At 57.0% G+C, this 19,593-nt stretch overlaps 3 protein-coding genes across 20 annotated transcripts, besides 7 other annotated features; 1 reads left to right on the forward strand and 2 right to left on the reverse strand.

Moving 5' to 3' along the window:
• GPR152 (G protein-coupled receptor 152) lies at positions 1,041 to 2,469 on the reverse strand. The gene has a single exon (NM_206997.1). The coding sequence runs from the start codon at positions 2,462 to 2,464 to the stop codon at positions 1,052 to 1,054; it is 1,413 nt and encodes a 470-aa protein (NP_996880.1). The 5' UTR covers positions 2,465 to 2,469; the 3' UTR covers positions 1,041 to 1,051.
• CABP4 (calcium binding protein 4) lies at positions 2,143 to 11,492 on the forward strand. Of its 7 annotated transcripts, NM_001379183.1 has the most exons (9): positions 2,143 to 2,386; positions 2,478 to 2,565; positions 2,677 to 2,709; positions 5,174 to 5,529; positions 5,846 to 5,958; positions 6,039 to 6,182; positions 7,313 to 7,422; positions 8,111 to 8,258; positions 8,371 to 11,492. In NM_001379183.1, the coding sequence occupies exons 5-9, from the start codon at positions 5,877 to 5,879 to the stop codon at positions 8,397 to 8,399; spliced, it is 513 nt and encodes a 170-aa protein (NP_001366112.1). In that variant the 5' UTR covers positions 2,143 to 2,386; positions 2,478 to 2,565; positions 2,677 to 2,709; positions 5,174 to 5,529; positions 5,846 to 5,876; the 3' UTR covers positions 8,400 to 11,492. The 7 variants fall into 7 exon arrangements, 6 of the variants coding, with proteins under 6 accessions (NP_001366112.1, XP_024304383.1, NP_001287825.1 ...); XM_024448615.2 differs by having other exon boundaries at positions 2,478 to 5,529; positions 5,928 to 5,958; NM_001300896.3 differs by lacking the exons at positions 2,478 to 2,565; positions 2,677 to 2,709 and having other exon boundaries at positions 5,449 to 5,529.
• Positions 9,662 to 9,711: an enhancer, noted in NCBI's record as "active region_5102". NCBI's record gives its function as "activates an Ori minimal core promoter by ATAC-STARR-seq in GM12878 lymphoblastoid cells {active_cell/tissue: GM12878}" and the evidence as "EXISTENCE:reporter gene assay evidence [ECO:0000049][PMID:35858748]".
• Positions 9,922 to 9,971: an enhancer, noted in NCBI's record as "active region_5103". NCBI's record gives its function as "activates an Ori minimal core promoter by ATAC-STARR-seq in GM12878 lymphoblastoid cells {active_cell/tissue: GM12878}" and the evidence as "EXISTENCE:reporter gene assay evidence [ECO:0000049][PMID:35858748]".
• TMEM134 (transmembrane protein 134) lies at positions 11,450 to 18,991 on the reverse strand. 12 transcript variants are annotated; one of them, NR_073409.2, is made up of 7 exons: positions 18,759 to 18,991; positions 17,768 to 17,832; positions 17,241 to 17,330; positions 17,052 to 17,128; positions 14,796 to 15,007; positions 14,543 to 14,596; positions 11,450 to 14,436 (listed from the first exon to the last, which is right to left on the reverse strand). NR_073409.2 is itself a non-coding variant. In NM_001078651.3 (7 exons), the coding sequence occupies exons 1-7, from the start codon at positions 18,930 to 18,932 to the stop codon at positions 14,354 to 14,356; spliced, it is 561 nt and encodes a 186-aa protein (NP_001072119.1). In that variant the 5' UTR covers positions 18,933 to 18,991; the 3' UTR covers positions 11,450 to 14,353. The 12 variants fall into 12 exon arrangements, 4 of the variants coding, with proteins under 4 accessions (NP_001072119.1, NP_079400.1, NP_001072118.1 ...); NR_073413.2 differs by having other exon boundaries at positions 14,796 to 14,840; positions 17,241 to 17,303; positions 17,757 to 17,832; NR_073411.2 differs by having other exon boundaries at positions 14,796 to 14,840; positions 17,757 to 17,832.
• Positions 18,576 to 18,715: a silencer, noted in NCBI's record as "silent region_3637". NCBI's record gives its function as "represses an Ori minimal core promoter by ATAC-STARR-seq in GM12878 lymphoblastoid cells {active_cell/tissue: GM12878}" and the evidence as "EXISTENCE:reporter gene assay evidence [ECO:0000049][PMID:35858748]".
• Positions 18,576 to 19,227: a biological region, named in NCBI's record as "H3K27ac hESC enhancer GRCh37_chr11:67236334-67236958".
• Positions 18,603 to 19,227: an enhancer, noted in NCBI's record as "H3K27ac hESC enhancer chr11:67236334-67236958 (GRCh37/hg19 assembly coordinates)". NCBI's record gives its function as "activates a minimal SCP1, AML or CMV promoter by ChIP-STARR-seq in naive H9 embryonic stem cells {active_cell/tissue: H9 hESC(naive)}" and the evidence as "EXISTENCE:reporter gene assay evidence [ECO:0000049][PMID:30033119]".
• Positions 18,926 to 19,065: a silencer, noted in NCBI's record as "silent region_3638". NCBI's record gives its function as "represses an Ori minimal core promoter by ATAC-STARR-seq in GM12878 lymphoblastoid cells {active_cell/tissue: GM12878}" and the evidence as "EXISTENCE:reporter gene assay evidence [ECO:0000049][PMID:35858748]".
• Positions 19,216 to 19,395: an enhancer, noted in NCBI's record as "active region_5104". NCBI's record gives its function as "activates an Ori minimal core promoter by ATAC-STARR-seq in GM12878 lymphoblastoid cells {active_cell/tissue: GM12878}" and the evidence as "EXISTENCE:reporter gene assay evidence [ECO:0000049][PMID:35858748]".

A 19,593-nucleotide genomic window follows, 5' to 3' on the forward strand; every position in this document is an offset into this window, starting at 1 on the left:
GCCCTCCACGGGAGGTGGGGAGCAGGTGGATGCTAATTGAACTTTTAAATAGAATCAGACTTTGAAGTCCCCTGCAGGCCCCCAAGGCACAGAGGCGGCCTCCTGGTCTTAGGCCACCTGGGTGTCTACGGCCCAGACAGGTCACAAGATCCCAGATGCCTGGGCCAGGTGGTGGCTCTCCCCACTGCCTCCTCTATCCATCCCCAGCCTCTAAAGGGACATCCTGTATGTGGATGAAGGAGAAGAAAGGCTAGTTCACCAGGCCCCTGCGTGCGCCAGGCTCTTGTAATGCCTTACACACTTTCTTATTGCATCCTCTCAACAGCTGATGACACGGGAGCTCGGAAGGTGAAGTTGCTCCTCCAGAGTCGCTCAGCTGGGACATGGCAGAGCTGGATTTGAATCCAGGCTAGGCAGCTCTTGCCTCTTCTGGCGCCTTGCTGAGGGAGGCCCTGCCCCAGCCTCAATGACTGTTGGGGGAAGGGGACTAGTGGACCAGGCTTGGCCATGCCAGGCCAGCTTGTGGTTCACCAGGGCCTTAGGCTCCTGCTTGGGGCTGGTGGCTCCTGGGAGGCCCCCTTCTCTTCAGGGACTTTTTTGTTTCACGTCCTTGTGTCCAGGCCCGGAGGAGGAGAGGGAGGGAAGGACCAAAGGGAGGTCAGGTCAAGCCCGGGGAAAGTGCCCCCTGTTGTCTTCCTCCAGCAGGACTGAGGCCCAGGGAAGAATAGTCAGCGGGGTCTGGGGTGTTGAGGGACAGTACCCCGCAAGATGCCATTAGCTGCGGTTTGGGGGCTGTCGGGCGACTGTGTGTGTGTTGGGAGCAACCACAGAAAAGGCTGATGGCCGGGAGCAGGGGTCGCTGACATGGAACTGCCTGAGACTTCTGGCTGGATTGTTTCCCCTCCCTCAAGTCCTCCTTCCAGGCCTGACGGACTCAGCAGGGTTTTTAAGGACAAAGCTGTCGGCGGCTCCCCACCTGTCTGACTGGCTGGTTCCTCTGTCTGCCCTGGGCTCTTTCACTGCTCTGGTGGGCCTGCGTGTTCCTGGACCCTCACGTGGGGCCTGCGCCCGGGGCCGCCTCTGGCGGGGTGCTGCTGGGGCTTTCTCCTTCAGAGGCAGGAGGTGTGGCTGGGTCCTCAAGGGCCCCTGGGGTAGGATGCGAGGATGGGGTTGGGGAAGCTTCATCACAGGGACTGGGCACAGAACTGGCAGCAGGTGCAGGGGTCTGGACGTTAGTGTCTGCCTGTGGCTGGGCCACAGAATCTGACTGTGGCTGGGCCATGAGGTTCAGCTGTGGCTGGGCTGTGGGATCCGACTGTGGCTGGGCCGTAGGGTTCAGCTGTGGCTGAGCTGTGGGATCCGATCGTGGCTGGAGTGTGGGGTTCACCTGAGGCTGGGCCACAGGATCCATCTGTGACTGGGCCTCTGCCATCGGCTCTGGCAGAGTTGGACCCTCAGAATCTAGCTGGGTCTGTGGCTCAGTGGGCGTGAAGCTGCCCGGCCGCTCCTCGCAGAGAGCTGCCGCGAAGGACGAGAGCACGGAGCGCAGCAGGGTCCGGAGGTCGGCACTGGCCATGAGGCAGAGGAAGGGGCTGAGGCAGCTGTTGAGTAGGATCAGGTAGTCGGAGTAGACCAGGGCCTCCCAGAGCAGGTAGCCAGAGTAGACGTCCCACAGGAAGGCCAGGTAGAGCAGCTGGGCCAGCTGGTAGGGCAGCCTCAGGACCACATAGGCTGACAGAATGGTCCTGGCCACACGGGCGAAGCCCCGGCAGGCTGCGGGCTGCTGTTGGCGGTGGCAGGTGCGACAGGCTGTGGCCTGGGTGAGCACGTGGCAGACGAGCAGCAGGAGGAAAGGCAGGAAGCCCCCCAGGACCTCCAGCATCCTCAGCGACAGCTCCTCGCTGTCCCAGAAGTCCAGGCAGATGACCAGGTCGTACCACCAGACGGCAGCCTCGGGGAAGACCAGCCAGGGCACGCTGAAGAGTGTGGCCAGCACCCAGACACCGGCGCAGACCCAGAGGGGCAGGCGGACTGGGCGGTGCCCAGGGTACCAGTGTGGGCACAGCGCCAGCAGGCAGCGGTCGAGGCTGAGGGCGGCCAGCAGGAAGAGGCCGGAGGAGTAGGACACGCCCCATAGGAAGTAGTAGAAGCGGCAGGCAGCTGTCCCCAGCGGCCAGTGTCCCCCATGCCGGATCTCTAGGATCTGGAAGGCCGCTGCTGCCAGGAACAAGAAGTCAGAGAGGGCCAGGCTGAGCAGGAGCAGCGCCAGACGCGTGCCAGCTCCATGCCGGGCCTGGGAGCCGGCCAGCCACGCCATCAACCCATTGGCTGGCAGCCCAAGGAGCAGCAGGGCCACCAGGAAGACCGTGTCCCAGCCACCTTGGGGGTAGGAGTCCTCATCATCAAGCTCTGTGCGGGGCCTGTGGCCAGTGGCACCCAGGTCAGCTTCCATGGTAGTGTCCATTTGGGGTCCCCAGAGTCCTGCTGGACACGGAGTGGGTGCCTGGTGAATCAATGATGGTGTGAATGACCGAGTATGGGAGAGACGGTGCTGTGCATCTCCAGGCAAGTCACCATCCCTCCCTGCGCCATTGTCATCACCTTTTGAGTAATTATCCTATGCCAAGGACTTGAAGTGGATGACCTCATGGAGTCCTCATACAATCTACTTTACAGGCGAGGACAGGAAGGTTCAGAGAATCAGTGAAGGTAGGAAGGGAGGTGCCAGGGCTCAACCCAGACTTTTCTTTTCTTTTCTTTTTTTTTTTTTGAGAGACAGGGCCTTGCTCTATTGCCCAGGATGAGTGCAGTGGCACAGTCCCTGCAGCTTCCACCTCCTGGGTTCCAGCGACCCTCCCATCTCAGCCTCCCTAGTAGCTGGGACTACAGGTGTGCACCCACTACTTTTTAAATTTTTAGTAGAAACAAGGTCTCACTGTGTTGCCCAGGCTGGTCTTGAACTCGTGAGCTCAAGTGATCCTCCTACCTTGGCCTCCTGAAATGTTGAGATTACAGGCATGAGACACTGTCCAGACAGACTTAATCTTCTGCCATGTAGAATCCCAATGGGTCCGGATAGACTAACCCGGAGGCTTTCAAACATTGTTAAAGGTATGGAATTTTGTCTGTAAGTAAAGTATTCTAAGGCCGGGCACGGTGGCTCACACCTGTAATCCCAGCACTTTGGGAGGATCACCTGAGGTTGGGAGTTCGAGACCAGCCTGACCAACATGGAGAAACCCCATCTCTACTAAAAATACAAAATTGGCTGGCCGTGGTGGCGCATGCCTGTAATCCCAGCTACTCAGGAGAATCGCTTGAACCCGGGAGGCAGAGGTTGTGGTGAGCCAAGATCGTGCCATCGCACTCCAGCCTGAGTAACAAGAGCAAAACTCTGTCTCAAAAAAAAAAAAAAAAAAAGTATTCTAGTGGAACTCCTATATGGACTAAAAGGGGGTGCTCAAATTAAGGGAGGGAAGAGTACCCCTACCCCCCAGGGTTCCAGGGAACACAGTTTGAAGACCGTTTGGTCCGCTCATCACAAGGCCCCTTTATGCCTGCTCCTCTGGGGTTCGAGTGTTTAGGATTCCAAGAAGGGAGGGCTCTGGTTCCCATGGGCCCAGGGGACCCGAAGGTAGGGAGTCTGGGGCAGTGGGAACCCCCTCCCCTCCAGCGAGTGTCACTCATGGGCTCAGGATGAGGTCTCTGAGCCTCAGGACCCCACAGCCTGGGGTCAGGAGGGCCATCCTAGGAGCCCCTGGTGCCTCTCCAGCATCTTCCACCCCACCGCGGCCCTCTCCCGCTTCCCACAGCTCAGGCAGGAGGTGACCCCTGTTTGTCTCCTGGAGCTGCTAAAGAGAGGGGGAGGGGCTCTGCAGTGGGATGGTGGTGGGATGGTGAGGGTGAGGGGAGTTGGAGGGCACCCAGACCTGGGATCCAAGAGGCCTGCAGCCCCACCTCGCCCTTCCCCGCTGGCAGCGGGGAGGGAGTTTCCCTTTGAGGGCGATGAGAGCCCAGGTGGTGGTATAGTCTGGGGAGGGAACGGATGCCCTGAAGGGCTGGCCCCTGCCCACGGCCCACGGCTCCAGCCACTTGGCCTTTAGTTTGGTGCCCTCCGTACCCTCAGGGTTCCTCCTCAGGCTGACCCCCTCTGCTGTCTCCATTCCCTATTGGATCAGAGCCCCAGGCACCCCGAGACTGGGGCCCTGACCAGTGAGGCCTGGCTTACCTGGGAGGCAGAGGCCGATGGGTGGAAGGAGCAGGAGCAGGGCGTGCCTGCCTGCCCAGCACTCCAGCTGTCCCCCCGGCCCTCACTGGGGCCTGCTTTGTGGCACCCGGCAGCGCTAAGGCGGGTGGGCAGGAAACCCAAGCTGAGAGGACATCAATTATTTATGGGGCTGCTTGCTGGGAAACCCTAACCCTGGCCCAGTAGGGCCAAGTGACCAGCCAGACCCCCTCCCCCAGCCCTGATGGGCCTGGACAGTCAGACCCTCCTCCCCAGGGCCTCTCTAGCCCAGAGCAGACTCTAAGACCCCAAGGTCCACCTCCTCCCACATCACCCCCCGTGCTCCTCAAAACGGCATTCGAGGCATCTGTGATCTGGCCTCTTCCTCCATTTCACACACCCTCTGCTCTGGCCAGGATGTCACCCATGGGGGGGCCCCAGTAGGCCACTCGCTCATCCTTTCCCACCTCCCAGCCGTTGTCCGCATGCCTCCTGCCACCTGAGATGCCTTCCCTGGTCCTCTCTGCCTAACGAAGGCCTCTGCCCATGTCACACATGAGCTGAGTCTTCTGCGCTCTAGCATTATTCCCCATGTTTTATAGATAGGGAAACTGAGGCTGGGAGGGGAATTTGCTGGATCCCCCAGCTAATAAGTAGCAGATCTGGCATCTGAGGCTCATGGCAGCCACCACGTCCTGGTGCCCCTTGCTTCTGACCAAGGACAGTTCTCTGGACCCATCTGGCTCTGCCCTGGCCAGCCCTGGGGCAGAGGACTGGGATTAGGGCCAGGGCTGCCTGCCTCACTTACCCTAATCCCCCTCAGAGCCCGATCCTAGGCTCTCAGCTCTAAGAGTGGGGGTGCATAAGCAGCTTTATGGGTCCTGAAAGCCAAGGGTGCCCAGGGGTGTGGTGTCTCTGAGCCCTGTTATCCCTCCCCCATGACCACAGAGCAGGCAAGGGGGCAGCAGGGCCCAAATCTGGCCATTGGCCGTCAGAAGCCCCCTGCGGGGGTTGTGACTCCCAAGAGTGATGCAGAGGAGCCCCCGTTGACCAGGAAGAGGAGCAAGAAGGAGAGGGGGCTCCGAGGGTCTCGAAAGCGCACTGGCAGCTCTGGGGAGCAGACAGGCCCCGAGGCCCCGGGGAGCAGCAATAACCCTCCCAGCACTGGAGAGGGGCCGGCGGGCGCACCCCCTGCATCCCCTGGGCCGGCCTCTTCTCGCCAGTCCCACCGACATCGTCCTGACTCCCTGCACGACGCTGCTCAGAGGACATACGGGCCCCTGCTCAATCGAGTCTTCGGGAAGGTTAGGTGGGACCTGGATTGGGCTGGGGGTCCTGGGGGTGGGGCTGGAGACACACCCCTTGGGCTCAGCTCACCCTGCCCCTGAGAGGCCCTCTGCCTCTTCTGCCCCAGACTGAGCCTGGGCTGTGGGGCAGGGTTGCTGCGGTTTGGGGAAGGGTAGGTCTCGGGCCAGCGTGGGCGGTGGGCAGAGCCAGAATTCACACCAGGGCTCTGTGGGAGCTCCAGGCTCTAGGAGCACAAAAGGGAGCTTGCTCCTCCTGGGTCCCACGAGGCTTCAGGGTCCTTTTCCTACTCTGATGGGGCTGGGCCCTGCCCAGGCCAACATGAGCAGGGGATGAAGGAGGAAGGATGACAGAGCCGTGGCTGGCCCTGGGGACATCCTGGACTCTCCCCCTGCAGGACCGCGAACTGGGCCCCGAGGAGCTAGACGGTGAGTGGCTCTTGCTGCTGGCAGGGGGTGGGAGCTGTCCCTGAGCCTGGCCACCTGGGCTTGACCTCCCTCCTCCACAGAGCTTCAGGCCGCCTTCGAGGAGTTTGACACTGACCGTGACGGCTACATCAGCCACCGGGAGCTGGGTGACTGCATGCGGACCCTGGGCTACATGCCCACCGAGATGGAGCTCCTGGAGGTCTCGCAGCACATCAAGATGCGCAGTCAGTCAGGGAGCCCGCCCGCCCGGGCAGCCTGCGTAGTTCAGGGGGTCACGAGGGGCTGGCAGGAGGTGGCCCTTGGGAGTCCATCGGGGTGCTAGTGGGAGTGAGGGAGGGTGGCGGTTTCCAGGCAGGGGCACCGGGTTCAAGCTCCTGCCTCTCTGTGTGGGAAGGCAGGCCAGCAAGGCGGCCCGGAGACCCAGGAGAGCCCCTTGGGGCTCAGGTTGAGGACCCTGGCTCGGGATGTCTGTTGCCATGGCCACTATACACATTTGCTCCTTTCACCCGAGCCCTTCCTGCCTCGCTGGCCCAGAAGCCCCTGACTCAGTGATAAAGTGCTGTCCGCTGATACTAGTCACCTGGCACCTTCTCTCTTTCTCTCTCTTTCTGTGACCCTGCCTCAGCCCTGTGCCCTGGTGGCAGCTGCCTGAATTGGGGTCGCCCTGATGGGAGAGGACCCCACCTATGCCTTGCGACTCAGTGTCTGATGGCAGGAACTGTGTGGTTCCCCTTCGCTGGTTTGTCCTCAGACAAATCTCATATTCACTTCATTCCAGGACTCCTGCATTTTTTCCTTAAAATTCCCAAAATGGGGATGTGATTTACAATTGAGCTGGACATTTGGTGTCATGCTTTTCTGTCCCCAAAGCTGTTGGGTGACCATGAGTGCTTTGAGTGACTGATGGCATCTTAGAACTGAGGCACGGACCACATGGGTGTGTTCGGAGGTGGCATTTATTGCTGCCCACTGGGCTCCAGTACTTCATGGCCATGAACCTGAACCCCATGGAGTAGGCTCCTCACCCTGCTCCTAGGATGAGGAAGGGAGGGCAGTAAGTCAGCCAATGCCACGCACATCAGCAGCAGGGCCAAGATTTGAACCGGGCACTATCTGGCTCCAAAGCCTGGTCTCTTCCTTGCACACTTGGGTTCTCCACTAAGAGCAGAAGCAGCCCTGGTACCCCAGCAGCCAAGGACGGGGGTTCCAGCCTCCTATCTGCTGCAGGCGTGGACACGGGTGTTTCTTCCTAGGTGCAGAGCCTGGGGGTGGGGGTGCCTGGCCTGTGGGATGTCCCTCCTTGGGCTTCAGACCTTATGCCCTCACCATTGTGACACTCTTCCTGGGTCTGCAGTGGGCGGCCGTGTGGACTTTGAGGAGTTTGTAGAACTGATAGGCCCAAAGCTGAGGGAGGAGACGGCGCACATGCTGGGGGTGCGAGAGCTGCGCATCGCCTTCCGAGAGGTGCGGAGTGTGGTGAGGTGGGCAGAGGGGGGCAGGGCTGGGTGGCATCCTTGCTGGCCTCTCACTCAGGTCTCAGCCTTGGGAAGGCCTAGAGCCCTGCAGGCGGTGGGACTGGGGCCCAGGGATGGGTCAGAGATGGTTCAGATCACTACCAGCTAGAGGATCCGTCCAGGGGGACTTCCTGGAGCAGGAGGCAAACCACCTTGGTGTGGGAGGGTGTGGAAGGTGTGCATGGGCAGAGATGGTGGGCAGGGGAGCATCTAGGTACAGGCAGCGGTAAGAGTGGAACTGGCTGGCCAGGCGCGGTGGCTCACGCCTGCAATCCCAGCACTTTGGGAGGCCAAGGTGGGCAGATCACCTGAGGTCAGGAGTTTGAGGTCAGCCTGGCCAACATGGCAAAACCCCATCTCTATTAAAAATACAAAAATTAGCCAAGGGTTGTGGTGGGCACCTGTAATCTCAGCTACTCAGGAGGCTGAGGCAGGAGAATCACTTGAACCCTGGAGGCGAAGGTTGCAGTGAGCCGAAATTGCGTCACTGCACTCCAGCCTGGTGACAGAGCAAGACTCCATCTCAAAAAATAAAATAAAAATAAATAAAATAAAATAAAATAAAAAATAAAAGAGTGGAGCTGGCTGAGGCTGAGGCAGCTTTGGGTGGGAGGGGCTGAGCTTTGCGGGGACCTTAGTTTGACAGGGACAGGGATGGACGAATTACGGTGGCGGAGCTGCGGGAGGCGGTACCGGCTCTGCTCGGGGAGCCGCTGGCGGGTCCTGAGCTGGACGAGATGCTCCGAGAAGTGGACCTCAATGGGGATGGCACCGTAGACTTTGACGGTGAGTCTCCTTCCCGGAAAACCCTCCCGTGCTTCCAGGGCCTAGGCTGAGCCCAGCACCTCCTGGGATCCCTGACGTGGACTGACCCAAGCCCTGCCCTTCTCTCCCGCAGAGTTTGTGATGATGCTCTCCCGCCACTGAGGCTCCAGGAGGGAATATCTGTTGCCCCTGCGGCCCCAGACACCAGCCAGACCCAGGCTGCAGGCCTCCCCCAGGAGCCTCCAGGATGGAGATGGAGACCCAGCAGCCCCCAGACTACTTCTATCCCTGAAAACACCTGGCCTCAATGTTGGCTTGTTATGTTACCTGCCCACCCTCATCCTTACCTCCTCCTACTCAAGCTGCCTGGAGAAGACCTGCTCTCAGCTGCCCACCGTTCCTCAGTGTGAGCAAGATTTGGGTCTCTCCAGACCTCTGGGAGGTAGGGAGTTCCCTGGCACTGGCAGCATTCAGTGGGGACCCCCCAGTGGCATGATGAATGGAGAGGATGGCTGGACCCCTTCCACTACTTATGTTTATAATTTTTTTTTTTTTTAATGAACTTGAGCCGGGTGCAGTGGCTCACACCTGTAAGCCCAGCTGTCAGGGGGCAGAAGCGGGAGGATAGCTTGAGCCCAGGAGTGCAAGACCTGCCTGGGCAATATACTGAGACCCCATTCTCCACAAAAAGGAAAAATAAAAGACAAAAAAACAAACAAAAAACCAAAAAACCCAAGTGTAAAAAAAGTGAGCTTGAAAGAAAGAAAGGGATGGCTCCATGTATCAAAGACAAAGAAATCAAAGCTGGGGTTGTAAGAGGGAGCTGACGCTGTGGGGGTTTCAGATCTGGATGGAGGCTTGGCCGCCTGGACTCCTACAACCATGAGTGACAGAAGAACCATATGAGTCTGGGGAGCAAGAAACAAACCCCCCGGATATATTCCAGGGTCTCCAAAGGCTAAGATATTAATCTGTCTGCACTGACCAGTCATAGAAAGTGGCAAGGATACAGATGTTCAGGGCCCAGAGTGGAAACAGCTGCCCTAAAGAGCCTGGAACTCCAGGGCCTGCCCTTCAAGCAGGCGTGTAGTCTCTCTCCAGGGTGTGAAAAACTGGAAAAAAACCCTGCCGCTCCCAAAGGGGAACTTGTGATAAAAATTACAGATTATTGGGCTGGGAGTGGTGGCTCACGCCTGTAATCCCAGCACTTTGGGAGGCTGAGGCGGGTGAATTACCTGAGGTCAGGAGTTTGAGGCCAGCCTGACCAACATGGTGAAACCCCATCTCTACTAAAAATACAAAAATTAACTGGGCGAGGTAGCATGCACCTGTAATCTCAGCTACTCGGAGGTTGAGGCAGGAGAATCGCTTGAGCCCGGGAGGTGGAGCTGCAGTGAGCTGAGATCACACCATTGCACCCCAGCCTGAGCAACAGATCGAGACTCCGTCTCAAAAACAAAACAAAAAAACCATACTGATTATAAAAGTAAAGAAACCACCATGAAGGAGACGAGACAGAGACAAAAACAAGAGGACTGGCATCTCAGTGTACATAATACAGCCGCCTAAGAGACCACAAGATACATGCAAATAAAAGACGGCTAAAAGGGGAAGAGAGATCAACATGCAGTAACAGGATAGTATGAAGAGAGAACCGGAAGATTTAAAAAGTAACCCAACAGGCCAGGCGCATGGCTCATGCCTGGAATCCCAGCACTTTGGGAGGCCAAGGTGGGTGGGTTGCTTGAGCTCAGGAATTCGAGACCAGCCTGGGCAACATGGTGAAACCCTGTCTCTACTAAAAATACAAAAATTAGCCAGGCGTGGTGGTGCTTGCATCTGTGGTCCCAGGTATTCTACAGGCTGAGGTGGGAGGATCACTTGAGCCCAGGAGGCAGAGGTTGCAGTGAGTCGAGATCGCACCACTGCACTCCAGCGTGGGTAACAGAGTGAGAATCCGTCAAAAAGAAAAAAACAAACCATGGCTTCTGTTAAAAAAATAAAGTATATTTTATATATACACACACACACACACACACACACACAGCCATTGGAATGAAAAAATAATGGATAAGCTAAACAGCAGATTAAACACAATTTAAAGATTAATGAACTGGAAGCTATATCTAAGAAATCACTTATAATGTAACACTGAGAGACAAAAGGATGGAAAATATTACAGGGTAGTTAAAAGTCACTGGAAGGCTGGGTGTGGTGGCTCACGCCTGTAATCCCAGCACTTTGGGAGGCTGAGACGGGCGGGTCACAGGGTCAGGAGATCGAGACCATCCTGGCTAACACAGTGAAACCCCATCTCTACTAAAAATACAAAAAAAAATTAGCTGGGCGTGGTGGCGGGCGCCTGTAGTCCCAGCTACTAGGGAGGCTGAGGCAAGAGAATGGCGTGAACCCAGGAGGCGGAGCTTGCAGTGAGCCGAGATTGCACCACTGCACTCCAGCCTGGGCTACAGAGCGAGACTCCGTCTCGGAAAAAAAAAAAAAAAAAGGTCACTGGAAGACTGGGTGTGGTGGCTTATGCCTGTAATCCCAGCATTTTGGGAGGCTAAGGCAGGAGGATCACTTGAGGCCAGGAGTTTGAGACCAGCCTAACAGCAAGACCCTGCCTCTTAAAAAAAATAATAAAAAAATAAGCTGGGTGTAGTGGCTCATGCTTGTAGTTCCAGCTATTCAGGAGGCTGAGGTGAGAGGATCATTTGAGCCCAGGAGTTGGAGGCTGCAGTGATCGTGCCACTGCACTCCAGCCTTGGTGACAGAGCAAGAGACCCTGTCTCAAAGAAAAAGACAGATAAGTCCTTGGGAGTCTCAGACGGAGGACATACATAGAGAATGAACAAGAAGCAATAACCAAAGAGATAATGGCTGAAAATTTTCCATAAAGACTTCCACAGACTTCAACTCCCCAGATTGAAGGAACAAACTGAAGTCAGAGTAGGGTAAATAAAAATAAATATATATCTGGATATATCCCATTGAAACCACAGAATATAAAAAGCAAATCTTATAAATAACTGGAGAGAAAAGTCAGATTCACGGTGTTCTGTCAAAGTGTTCATGTAGACTAAGGGTGGGGAAACTTTCTGTAAAGGGCTGGAGAATAATTATTTTCAGCTTTGAGGCTTTGGTCTCTGTTGCAGCTGCTCACGCAACTCTGCTGTTGAAGTTTGTAGTGCAAAGTCAAGTCAACAAATGAGTGTGGCTATATCAGAAATTTTAATAAATAACAGTAAAACTTCATTTATTGACATGGAAATTTGAATTTTATATAATTTTATGTCATAAAATCTTATTATTCTTTGACTTTTCTCCAACCATTACAAAATATAAAAACCACTCTGTGGACTATACCTTGCTGATTCCTAACGCAGACTTCTAATGATGGGAATCACCACTTCTGAAATTGCTTTCTGTTAAGACTGTAGAATGAAGTCGGGCGAGGTGGCTCAGGGGTTGGAGACCAGCCTGGCCAACATAGTGAAACCCTGTCTCTACTAAAAATACAAAGATTAGCTGGGCATGGTGGCATGTGCCTGTAGTCGCAGCTACTGAGAAGGCTGAGGCATGAGAATCGCTTAAACCGGGAGGCAGAGGATGCAGTGAGCCGAGATCGGGCCACTGCACTCCAGCCTGGGAGACAGTGAGACTCGTCTCAAAAAAAAAACAAAAAAAAAAAAAACAAGGAGTAAAAAGTTGTTAGCTGCGATTCTGTGTTAATTGCCTGTTTGTTCATATTCAATGGTTTTTGTCATTTTTCCTTTTTCCTATGTTTGTTCTGATTATATTTATTGAAATGTAATTTTATGTCTAATTAATCTGATAAACTGTGGACTTGTATTCTGTATTTTTTTTTTTTTTGGAGACAGAGTCTCGCTCTGTCGCTCAGGCTGGAGTGTAGTGGCGTGATCTCGGCTCACTGCAACCTCTGCCTCCCGGGTTCAAGCGATTCTCCTGCCTCAGCCTCCTGAGTAGCTGGGATTACAGGTGCGCACCACCATGCCCGGTAATTTTTTTGTATTTTTAATAGAAATGGGATTTCACCCTGTTGGCCAGGCTGGTCTCGAACTCCTGACCTCATGATTCACCTGCCTCGGCCTCCCAAAGTGCTGGGATTGCAGGCATGAGCCACCACGCCCAGCCTCTGTATGTTTTTTATTTCATTTTTCTAGTTTTTAAAATTTTTATGTTATTTATTTATTTATTTTTTAAATAGGTCTCAGTCTGTCTTCCAGGCTGGAGTGCAGTGGTGCAATCATGACTCCACTGCAGCCTCCCAGGCTCCGTGATCCTCCCACTCCAGCCTCGCAAGTGGGTGGGACTACAGGCGCCCCACCATGCCTGGCTAAGTTTTTGTATTTTTTGTAGAGATGGGGTTTTCCCATGTTTCCCAGGTTGGTCTCGAACTCCTGGGCTCAAGTGATCCTCCCACCGTGGCCTCTCAAAGTGCTGGGATTACAGGCATGAGGCACGGCACCCGGCTAGTTCTTCTTATGAAAGTACTGGACCGTGATGGATTAGAAATGAAAACTGGTCCTTTACCATAGCTAGTTGGGGGACCACTGGTTTAGGAGTTCCTGCATCCAATGGGTGCCCCCTAAGTGCCTTGAATGGGGGATGAGGGTGGGAAGTCTGCGGGGCCTGGAAAGGTGGGAGCGAGAGCAAGAGTCTGGGTGTCCATTCCTCTAACTCAGAATCCTGAAGGCCCCGCTGTGTTGGGTGCTGCAGACAGTGGTTTGTGGGACCCGTGTTTTGGTGGGGGAGATAGACAGTACGGGCAGGTGCACCAACAGGGCCTCCCAACCCTTGCTCACTCAGCCAGCCTCTTGGTTGGCCGGTAGGGGAGACCAGCTCAGTGCCGGTTTCCTTCTCCCTCCCCGACAGTGTCATGGGAAGAGCCCTGGGCTACGTTCCTAATTCTACCTACCACCTGCTGGCTGTCCTTGGGTGAGTCAGTCCTTATCTGTAAAATGGGACGGAGGTAGTGAAGATTACAAGATATAACCCGTGTTCAGTGCTTAGCGCAGGGCCTAGTATATTTTCTTTTCTTTTTTTTTTTTTAAATAGAGATGGGTTCTCGCCATGTTGTCCAGGTTGGTCGCGAACTCCTGGGCTCAAGCGATCCTCCCACCTTGGCCTCTCAAAGTGCTAGGATTACAGGCTTGAGCCACCGTGCCCGGCCATCCTGGGGTCTTTCAACAAATTGATAACTGGTAGCTACTATGATCTCAGATTTCAGGTTTCTCAAAGATTCTGTTTCTTGTTTCGTAAGATTCTGAAATGCTGATGTTCCAAAATTCTGAGATGGTTTGTTTCTAACGTTCTGCATTTCTAAGTCTTTGACCACTGAGGGTGTCTGTCAGGCGCGGCTTCCTATGCCCTCTGCCCCCAGGTTCTCCCAACCTCTGGGACTGGGAAGGAGGGCAGTGGGTGGAGGGGGCTGGGCCATTGCCTTGACATGGCCCACATTCAGGGCTGGCTGTGGCAGCCCAGGGCCCCAGAGCCAGGCTGGAACTAGGATACCAGCCTCCAGGTCCCAGGCCTGCGTCATCTCTGCGTGCCCTCGGCCAGGGCCACCAGACAGAGACGGGCTGGTTGAGTCATCCAAGGGCTGGGGGTGGGGCAGGCTGTTCCGGCCGGCTCCTGGCTGGCAAGGCAGGAGTCCTACGCCCAGCTCTGCCCCTAACATGCCCCGTGCCCTTGGGCAAGCCTCAGCATCAGGGCTGCCACGCGTTCGGTGGTGCTCGAAGCCCTTCAGCGTCAGGGTCAGTCCTTGGGAGGGGGGCTGTGGTCAGGCTGGTGGGCTGGGCTAGCAGTGGCAGGACAGGAGGAGAGCAATTGCCTCTGGTGGAATTAATTACTCTTTTATTAGCACAAAATAACAGCAACCTAGCAGCCGCACGGCCCGAGAATAAGTTAAGGCACAGAGCAGGCGACGGGCGGCTTTCCCAGGGCCAGGCCTGCATGCCCCGAACTTCCTGAGCAAACTCCCTAGGGGCTGGGGTTTCGAGGGTCCTGGAGGGCCTCTTCCCTTGAGATGAGGGGAACGGAACAGGGCAAGAGGGGCGCCCCCATGGGCGCAAGGGGTCCACGCTGCGCCGCGATCACTTCTCGAAGTAGGGCAGGTAGAAGAACTGGAAGCCCCGGTGGCCCTTGACCGCGCAGTAGATGAAGATCACGTGATAGACTGCGGGGCGGGGCCTGTCAGCGCAGAAGCCCCGCCCCTCCCCGCAACACCGCCCCCAGTGCCGCCCCACAGCCCCCGCCCCTTCCGCCCCGGTGCCCGCTCGCACCTCCAGGCACCAACAACAGGAAGCCCGGCACGAAGAAGATGGCGCTGGAGACACCTGCGGGAGGGACCAGAGCCCGGTCAGGGCGAGGGGGCGGAGGCTTCGAGGCCTTCCGGGCTGCCGCTGACTGCCCGGGCAAGCCTCACTCCCAGCTGAAAAGGAGCCGTGTACTGCCGGGAGGTGGGAGGGCTTGCCGTGGACCCGTGGACACAAGACAGGGGTGTCCTCTGCCTGTGGGGGCGGGAGGGTCGCTCACCTGGAGAGGGGGTCGCCTCCAGTCCCACGCCGACCAGGATCAGCACTGCACACAGACGGAGCCGCGGGGGTGGGGGCAGGAGCAGTGGTGAGGGCGGGGGCTCCCACCCCCAGCCCGGCTCACCCACCACCTGAGCTGAAGGTGCCCTAGGCAGAGACCCTCCCCAGGAAGCTCACCAAGCTCTGTTTCCAGAGCAAGGCACTGAGCAGGCCCTGGGAAGTGTGTGAAAGGAGAGATTTTTCTTTGTTCCTTGGGGTGGGCTTTTAGTCATTCAGCAAACATTTATGGAACACCTACTGCGTGCCTGGTACTGGGAATTCCGCCCTGAAGGGCAGATAAGGTCCCTGCCCTCATGGCCCGTCCTTAGTGGAGGAACCAATAAGAACCTGAAAGCTAACAGTACAGGTGATTGGGATATAGGGGGTAAGAACAGGGCAGTGCAGGAGTCCTGGGTCCCCAGTTAGAAGAGTGATGGGGGAATGAGGAGCTGGACTTTGGGCTCTGCAACAAGGGGGGTAGTAAGCCTGGGGGACTGGGGGGCCACCATGGACTGCTTTGTGCATTGCCCAGACTACTTCAAAAAGGGTGGGCCAGGTGTGGTGGCTCATGCCTGTAATCCCAGTGCTTCAGGGAGCCAAGGCAGGAAGATCGCTTGAGGCCAGGAGTTTGAAGCCAGCCTGGGCAACATACCAAGATCCCCATCTCTATAAAAGGTTAAAAAAAAATTAGCCCAGCCCAGGCGTGGTGACTCATGGCTGTAATCCTAGCACTTTGGGAGGCTGAGGCAGGAGGATCACTTGAGTTCAGGAGTTCAAGACCAGCCTGGGCAACATAGTGAGACCTTGTCTCTATTATTATTTTAAAAAAAAAAAAATTAGCTGAGCATGGTGGTACATGCCTGTAGTCCCAGCTACTAGGGAGGCTCAGCTGGGAGGATGGCTTGAGTCCAAGAGTTTGAGGCTGCAGTGATCATACCACAGCTCTCCAGCTTGGGCAACAGAACAAGACCCTGTCTCTAAAAAATAAAAAGGGCTGGGCGTGGTGGCTCACGCCTGTAATCCCAACACTTTGGGAAGCTGAGGTGGGTGGATCACCTGAGGCCAACATGGTGAAACCCCATCTCTACTAAAAAAATACAAAAAATTAGCCAGGTGTGGTGGCGCGCGCCTGTAATCCCAGCTACTCTGGAGGCTAAGGCATGAAAATCCCTTGAACCCAGGAGGCAGAGGTTGCAGTGAGCCGAGATTGCGCCACTACACTCCTGCCTGGGCGACAGAGCAAGACTCCTCCTCAAAAAATAAATAAATAAAAATAAAGGGGTATAGGGTATGATGGGGGCTGAAACTCACTCCCTGCACCCTACAAAGGCCCTCTAAGGCGCTCTGGTAGCCCCAGGCTTGCCTTGCTGGGTTGAGGGGAAAAATGAAAGAACTTGGCAGCACTACCAGGGCCAGTGTACAGCGGTGCTGGGAAGTGGCAGCCCCCTCCCCCACACTCAAACACCCTGAGCAGAGGCCAGACTCTGTGCCAGGGGCCTGGCTGGCTGGGGAGCCTTGGCCTTCCTGGAGAAGCGGAGAGATGAGCCAGGGTAGCAGCCACAGTTAGTCCCTTCTTATGGATCACTCGTGACCCCAACCCTGGATCCTTTCTGGGGACTCTGCCTCCTCTACCCCAAAGAACGAGGTGCCTGGGAGCCAAAGAACACCTGGTGTGAGATCTGCCTGCTCTGGACCAAAAGTTCCCCCATCTGAGCAATGGGTAGGAGAGGGGTGCTTGTCAGTGCTTAGATGCCAGACAAGGGGAAGTGCCAGGTGCCCTGCGGCTCTGCACTGGCTGGGCACTCGGCATCCCTGAGCCCCTACACGTGGCTTCTGGGCACCACCTCACTTGTAGGACTTCTGTAAGATGGGAAAATAAAACTGCCCTGCACCTTGCCCAGAGTAGACACAGAATAAATGGTAGCTGCTACTCTTCTGTCCTCTAATGGATTTAAACAGGTTAAATTTTTTAAAAAAGGAAAAGTCTTTGCAGTGATAAGCCAGGTTCCATTTTCAGCTATGTGTGATTTCCTGGCTGTGTGCCCAGGTCACAAGGCCTCTGTCTCCTCACCTGTAAAATGGGAGTGTGATGATGGCAGCCAGCTGCCTCCTCAGGATGCTGGGAGGCTCAGTGTCAAGGGGGAGGCAGAGCCTGTACAAAAGGAGGGCAGAGCCTCCCACGGGGCCCCTCTTGACCCCAACCCTCAGGGCCACTCACCCAGCCCCAGCAGCAGGAGCAGGAAGGAGGCCAGCACCACTCGGCGGTTCTTCTGGATCAAAGGGTGTTGGGTCCAGCTGGGTGGCAGGAGAGCAGGGTGAATGTGAAGGAGGTGGAGGGAGGGGGTGCAGGAGGCTGTGGGGGTGGAGCCAGGGCTGCTCGGCTGGGGGCTTAGGCGGGCAGGCTCACCTGCAGCAGGTGTTGTAGGAGCGCTGGGTGCTGCTGCTGATGGTGCTGAAGGACCACTGGGAGCTGCGGATGGAAGTTCGGCTGGAATCCCTGCCAGGACAGGCGCCCAGTGAGGGGCAGGGAGGCAAGGACGGGGTTGCTTTGGGACAGGAGTCCTGATGAAGTGCAGGGCATGGTGCAGGGACTGGGGCTGGCCCCTTGCAGGATAGTGGGCCCTGAGAGGCCTCGGTGGGTGAGCATGAATTCAGGGGCTGGGGATGAGCTAGGGGATTCTGTAGGACAGGTGACCTGTATGAAGGTGGGGGCCAGACCAGACTGGGGGTTTCTGAAAGAGGTGAGTACAGCTGGGCACTAGGGTAGGGTGACCCTACAGTGTAGGAGACCCTGTGAGGAAAGTGAGGGTCAGGCTAGGAATCAATAGGACGGGATGGAAGAGAGTGAGTGAAGTGGGGTGGGTGACTGAGCAGGGTCCCTGGGGATAGGAGCTGGGGCTGGGGTACAGGGTTGGGTCCCCACCTGGCCCTAACCTGGTGCCGACTCCCCCATCCGGCTCCGGAGAGGCCTGGGCTCCATCCTCATCGTTCTCCAGGTTCTGTTGCAGAACACAGGTCTCAGGGGGGTTGCTGGGCTGGGGCCCTTCCTCACTCCCTCCCGGGAAGAGAAAAGCAGGCCTACACAACCATTTGCCTGGCCGCCTGGCAGCTGTTCACCTGGCCCTCTGCCCTCCCCGCAGAACGGGTTTGGTGATTCACAGAAACCAGGTAGGAGGTGGGTGGATGCCAGGGCTTTGGGGAGCAGGAGCCTGCATAGATCCCAGGGAAAGGAGAGCTCCCAACTTTGGGTTAGGGTGGAGCTCTCATTCAGTGGCCTAGAATGGGAGCTTGGGAATTGGGGTGCCAGGAAAGGCCAGGCCCAGAGTTCCCAGGTTCAAGGCACAGGGTTCTGGTCCAGGTCTCCAAGAAAAGCAGCCTAGGGTTGGTGGAGGTTTTCTGGGAAAATGGGTTTTTCTGGTTTAGTGGGAGCCAAAGGGTGGGCAAGGACTGGTCATGTGAGAGGAGCTCCAGCTCTTAGGGGTGGTGGTGGGATTAGGGAGAGGGCTTTCAGAATAGAGAAAGGCGTGCGGGTTCCCATCAGCTTAGCTGGCCTGGGGCACAGGGGATGCTCCTGCGTGTGGGGCAAGGTCTGGTTCAGATACAGAGGAGCTCCCCCAACCCAGCGGGGGCCAGGTGCGAGTAGCCAGGATGAGTGGGGAATCCGGTTGGGTTCCCCAGCTGGAGCTGAGGGATGAGCTCCCGGGCCCGGGCACTGGGCTCTTCCCGGCTGGCTGGGGCCCGGTATGGGAACCGGGAGGGCCTGGGCAGGGCTCTGGATCAAGAGTCACGTCCGCGGGGCGGGGGGGCGGTCTCGCGCTTCAGCTGGGGCCTCTAGGCAGATGCTTCCCCGAGTTGAGGCCTTTGGGGCCCGGCCTGGGGTCCCGTCCGGCCGGGGGCAGGGGGTTAGGTGGGCCGGGCGGTTCACCTGGTAGCGCAGCCGGGACTGCTTGTCCTCGTCAGCCACCTCGAACCGGGCCCGACGCTCGAAGTGCAGCGGCCCAAAGCGCGCGACCCCGCTGGACTCGGGCCCAGGGCCCCCGTCCTCCAGGGACAGCTCGAAGGCATCATCAATGCTGAACTGGGGCCGGGCGGCGCTCATGGCCCCGGCCCGCTCAGGCGCCGTGCGCCGCCGCCATCTGCGCCCACACACCCAGCGTCGCCGCTGCCCCGCCCCCGCATGCCCCGCCCCTCCGACCCTGGCTCCGCCCCACGCGCCGGTCCCGCCCCCGTCCGCCCTAAGCAGGCCAGAGTTGCCGAGCCCTGAGCGGGCTGATGGGTGGGAGCCTCTTCCAGACGGAGCGCGCCCGCCCCGTGACGCCACTCAGTGGCCGCCATGGCAAGCGACAGCCCGTGCCGGGCTCGGACACATCCCCCAGGCGTGTATGTGCGGGGGCTTGGAGGGGCTTCCACGCCCCAACCTCCAGGTCCCTGACAGGGCCTTTTGCACCGCAGCCTGTTCCTCGAGTGCCAAGGAGACTCCTGGGAACTGTTTCCCCACCTTACTCACAACAGCCCCGCACCGGAGGGGTGCTCTCCCCATTTTTGCAAATGTGGAAACCGAGGCTCAGAGAGCTTATGTGTCTTCCAATTTCCAGTCAGTCTCCACGCAGCAGCCGAAGTGATCTTTTAAAACAAATCTTTTTATCTGCGTGTGTTATTCTGAAAACCCTTTTTAAAAATTTTGCTGCTGGCCTGGCTCGGTGGCTCACTCCTGTAATCCCAGCACTTTGGGAGGCCGAGGCGGGTGGATCACTTGAGGT

The sequence above is a fragment of the Homo sapiens genome, chromosome 11 (assembly GCF_000001405.40).
Source record: "Homo sapiens chromosome 11, GRCh38.p14 Primary Assembly".
In the NCBI taxonomy this organism is placed as follows: domain Eukaryota; kingdom Metazoa; phylum Chordata; class Mammalia; order Primates; family Hominidae; genus Homo; species Homo sapiens.

Excerpts from the sequence above, each read along its gene's own strand:
- GPR152 (NM_206997.1), bottom strand. The coding sequence starts at position 2,464 with ATGGACACTACCATGGAAGCTGACCTGGGTGCCACTGGCCACAGGCCC.
- CABP4 (XM_024448615.2), top strand. The coding sequence starts at position 5,164 with ATGACCACAGAGCAGGCAAGGGGGCAGCAGGGCCCAAATCTGGCCATT. Across the intron at positions 5,530-5,927 it reads TCAATCGAGTCTTCGGGAAG|GACCGCGAACTGGGCCCCGA; the intron begins GTTAGGTGGGAC and ends CTCCCCCTGCAG. Across the intron at positions 8,259-8,370 it reads TGGCACCGTAGACTTTGACG|AGTTTGTGATGATGCTCTCC; the intron begins GTGAGTCTCCTT and ends TCTCTCCCGCAG.
- TMEM134 (NM_025124.4), bottom strand. The coding sequence starts at position 18,932 with ATGAGCGCCGCCCGGCCCCAGTTCAGCATTGATGATGCCTTCGAGCTG. Across the intron at positions 17,833-18,758 it reads AGTCCCGGCTGCGCTACCAG|AACCTGGAGAACGATGAGGA; the intron begins GTGAACCGCCCG and ends GTTCTGCAACAG. Across the intron at positions 17,129-17,240 it reads TCCTACAACACCTGCTGCAG|CTGGACCCAACACCCTTTGA; the intron begins GTGAGCCTGCCC and ends CCTGCCACCCAG.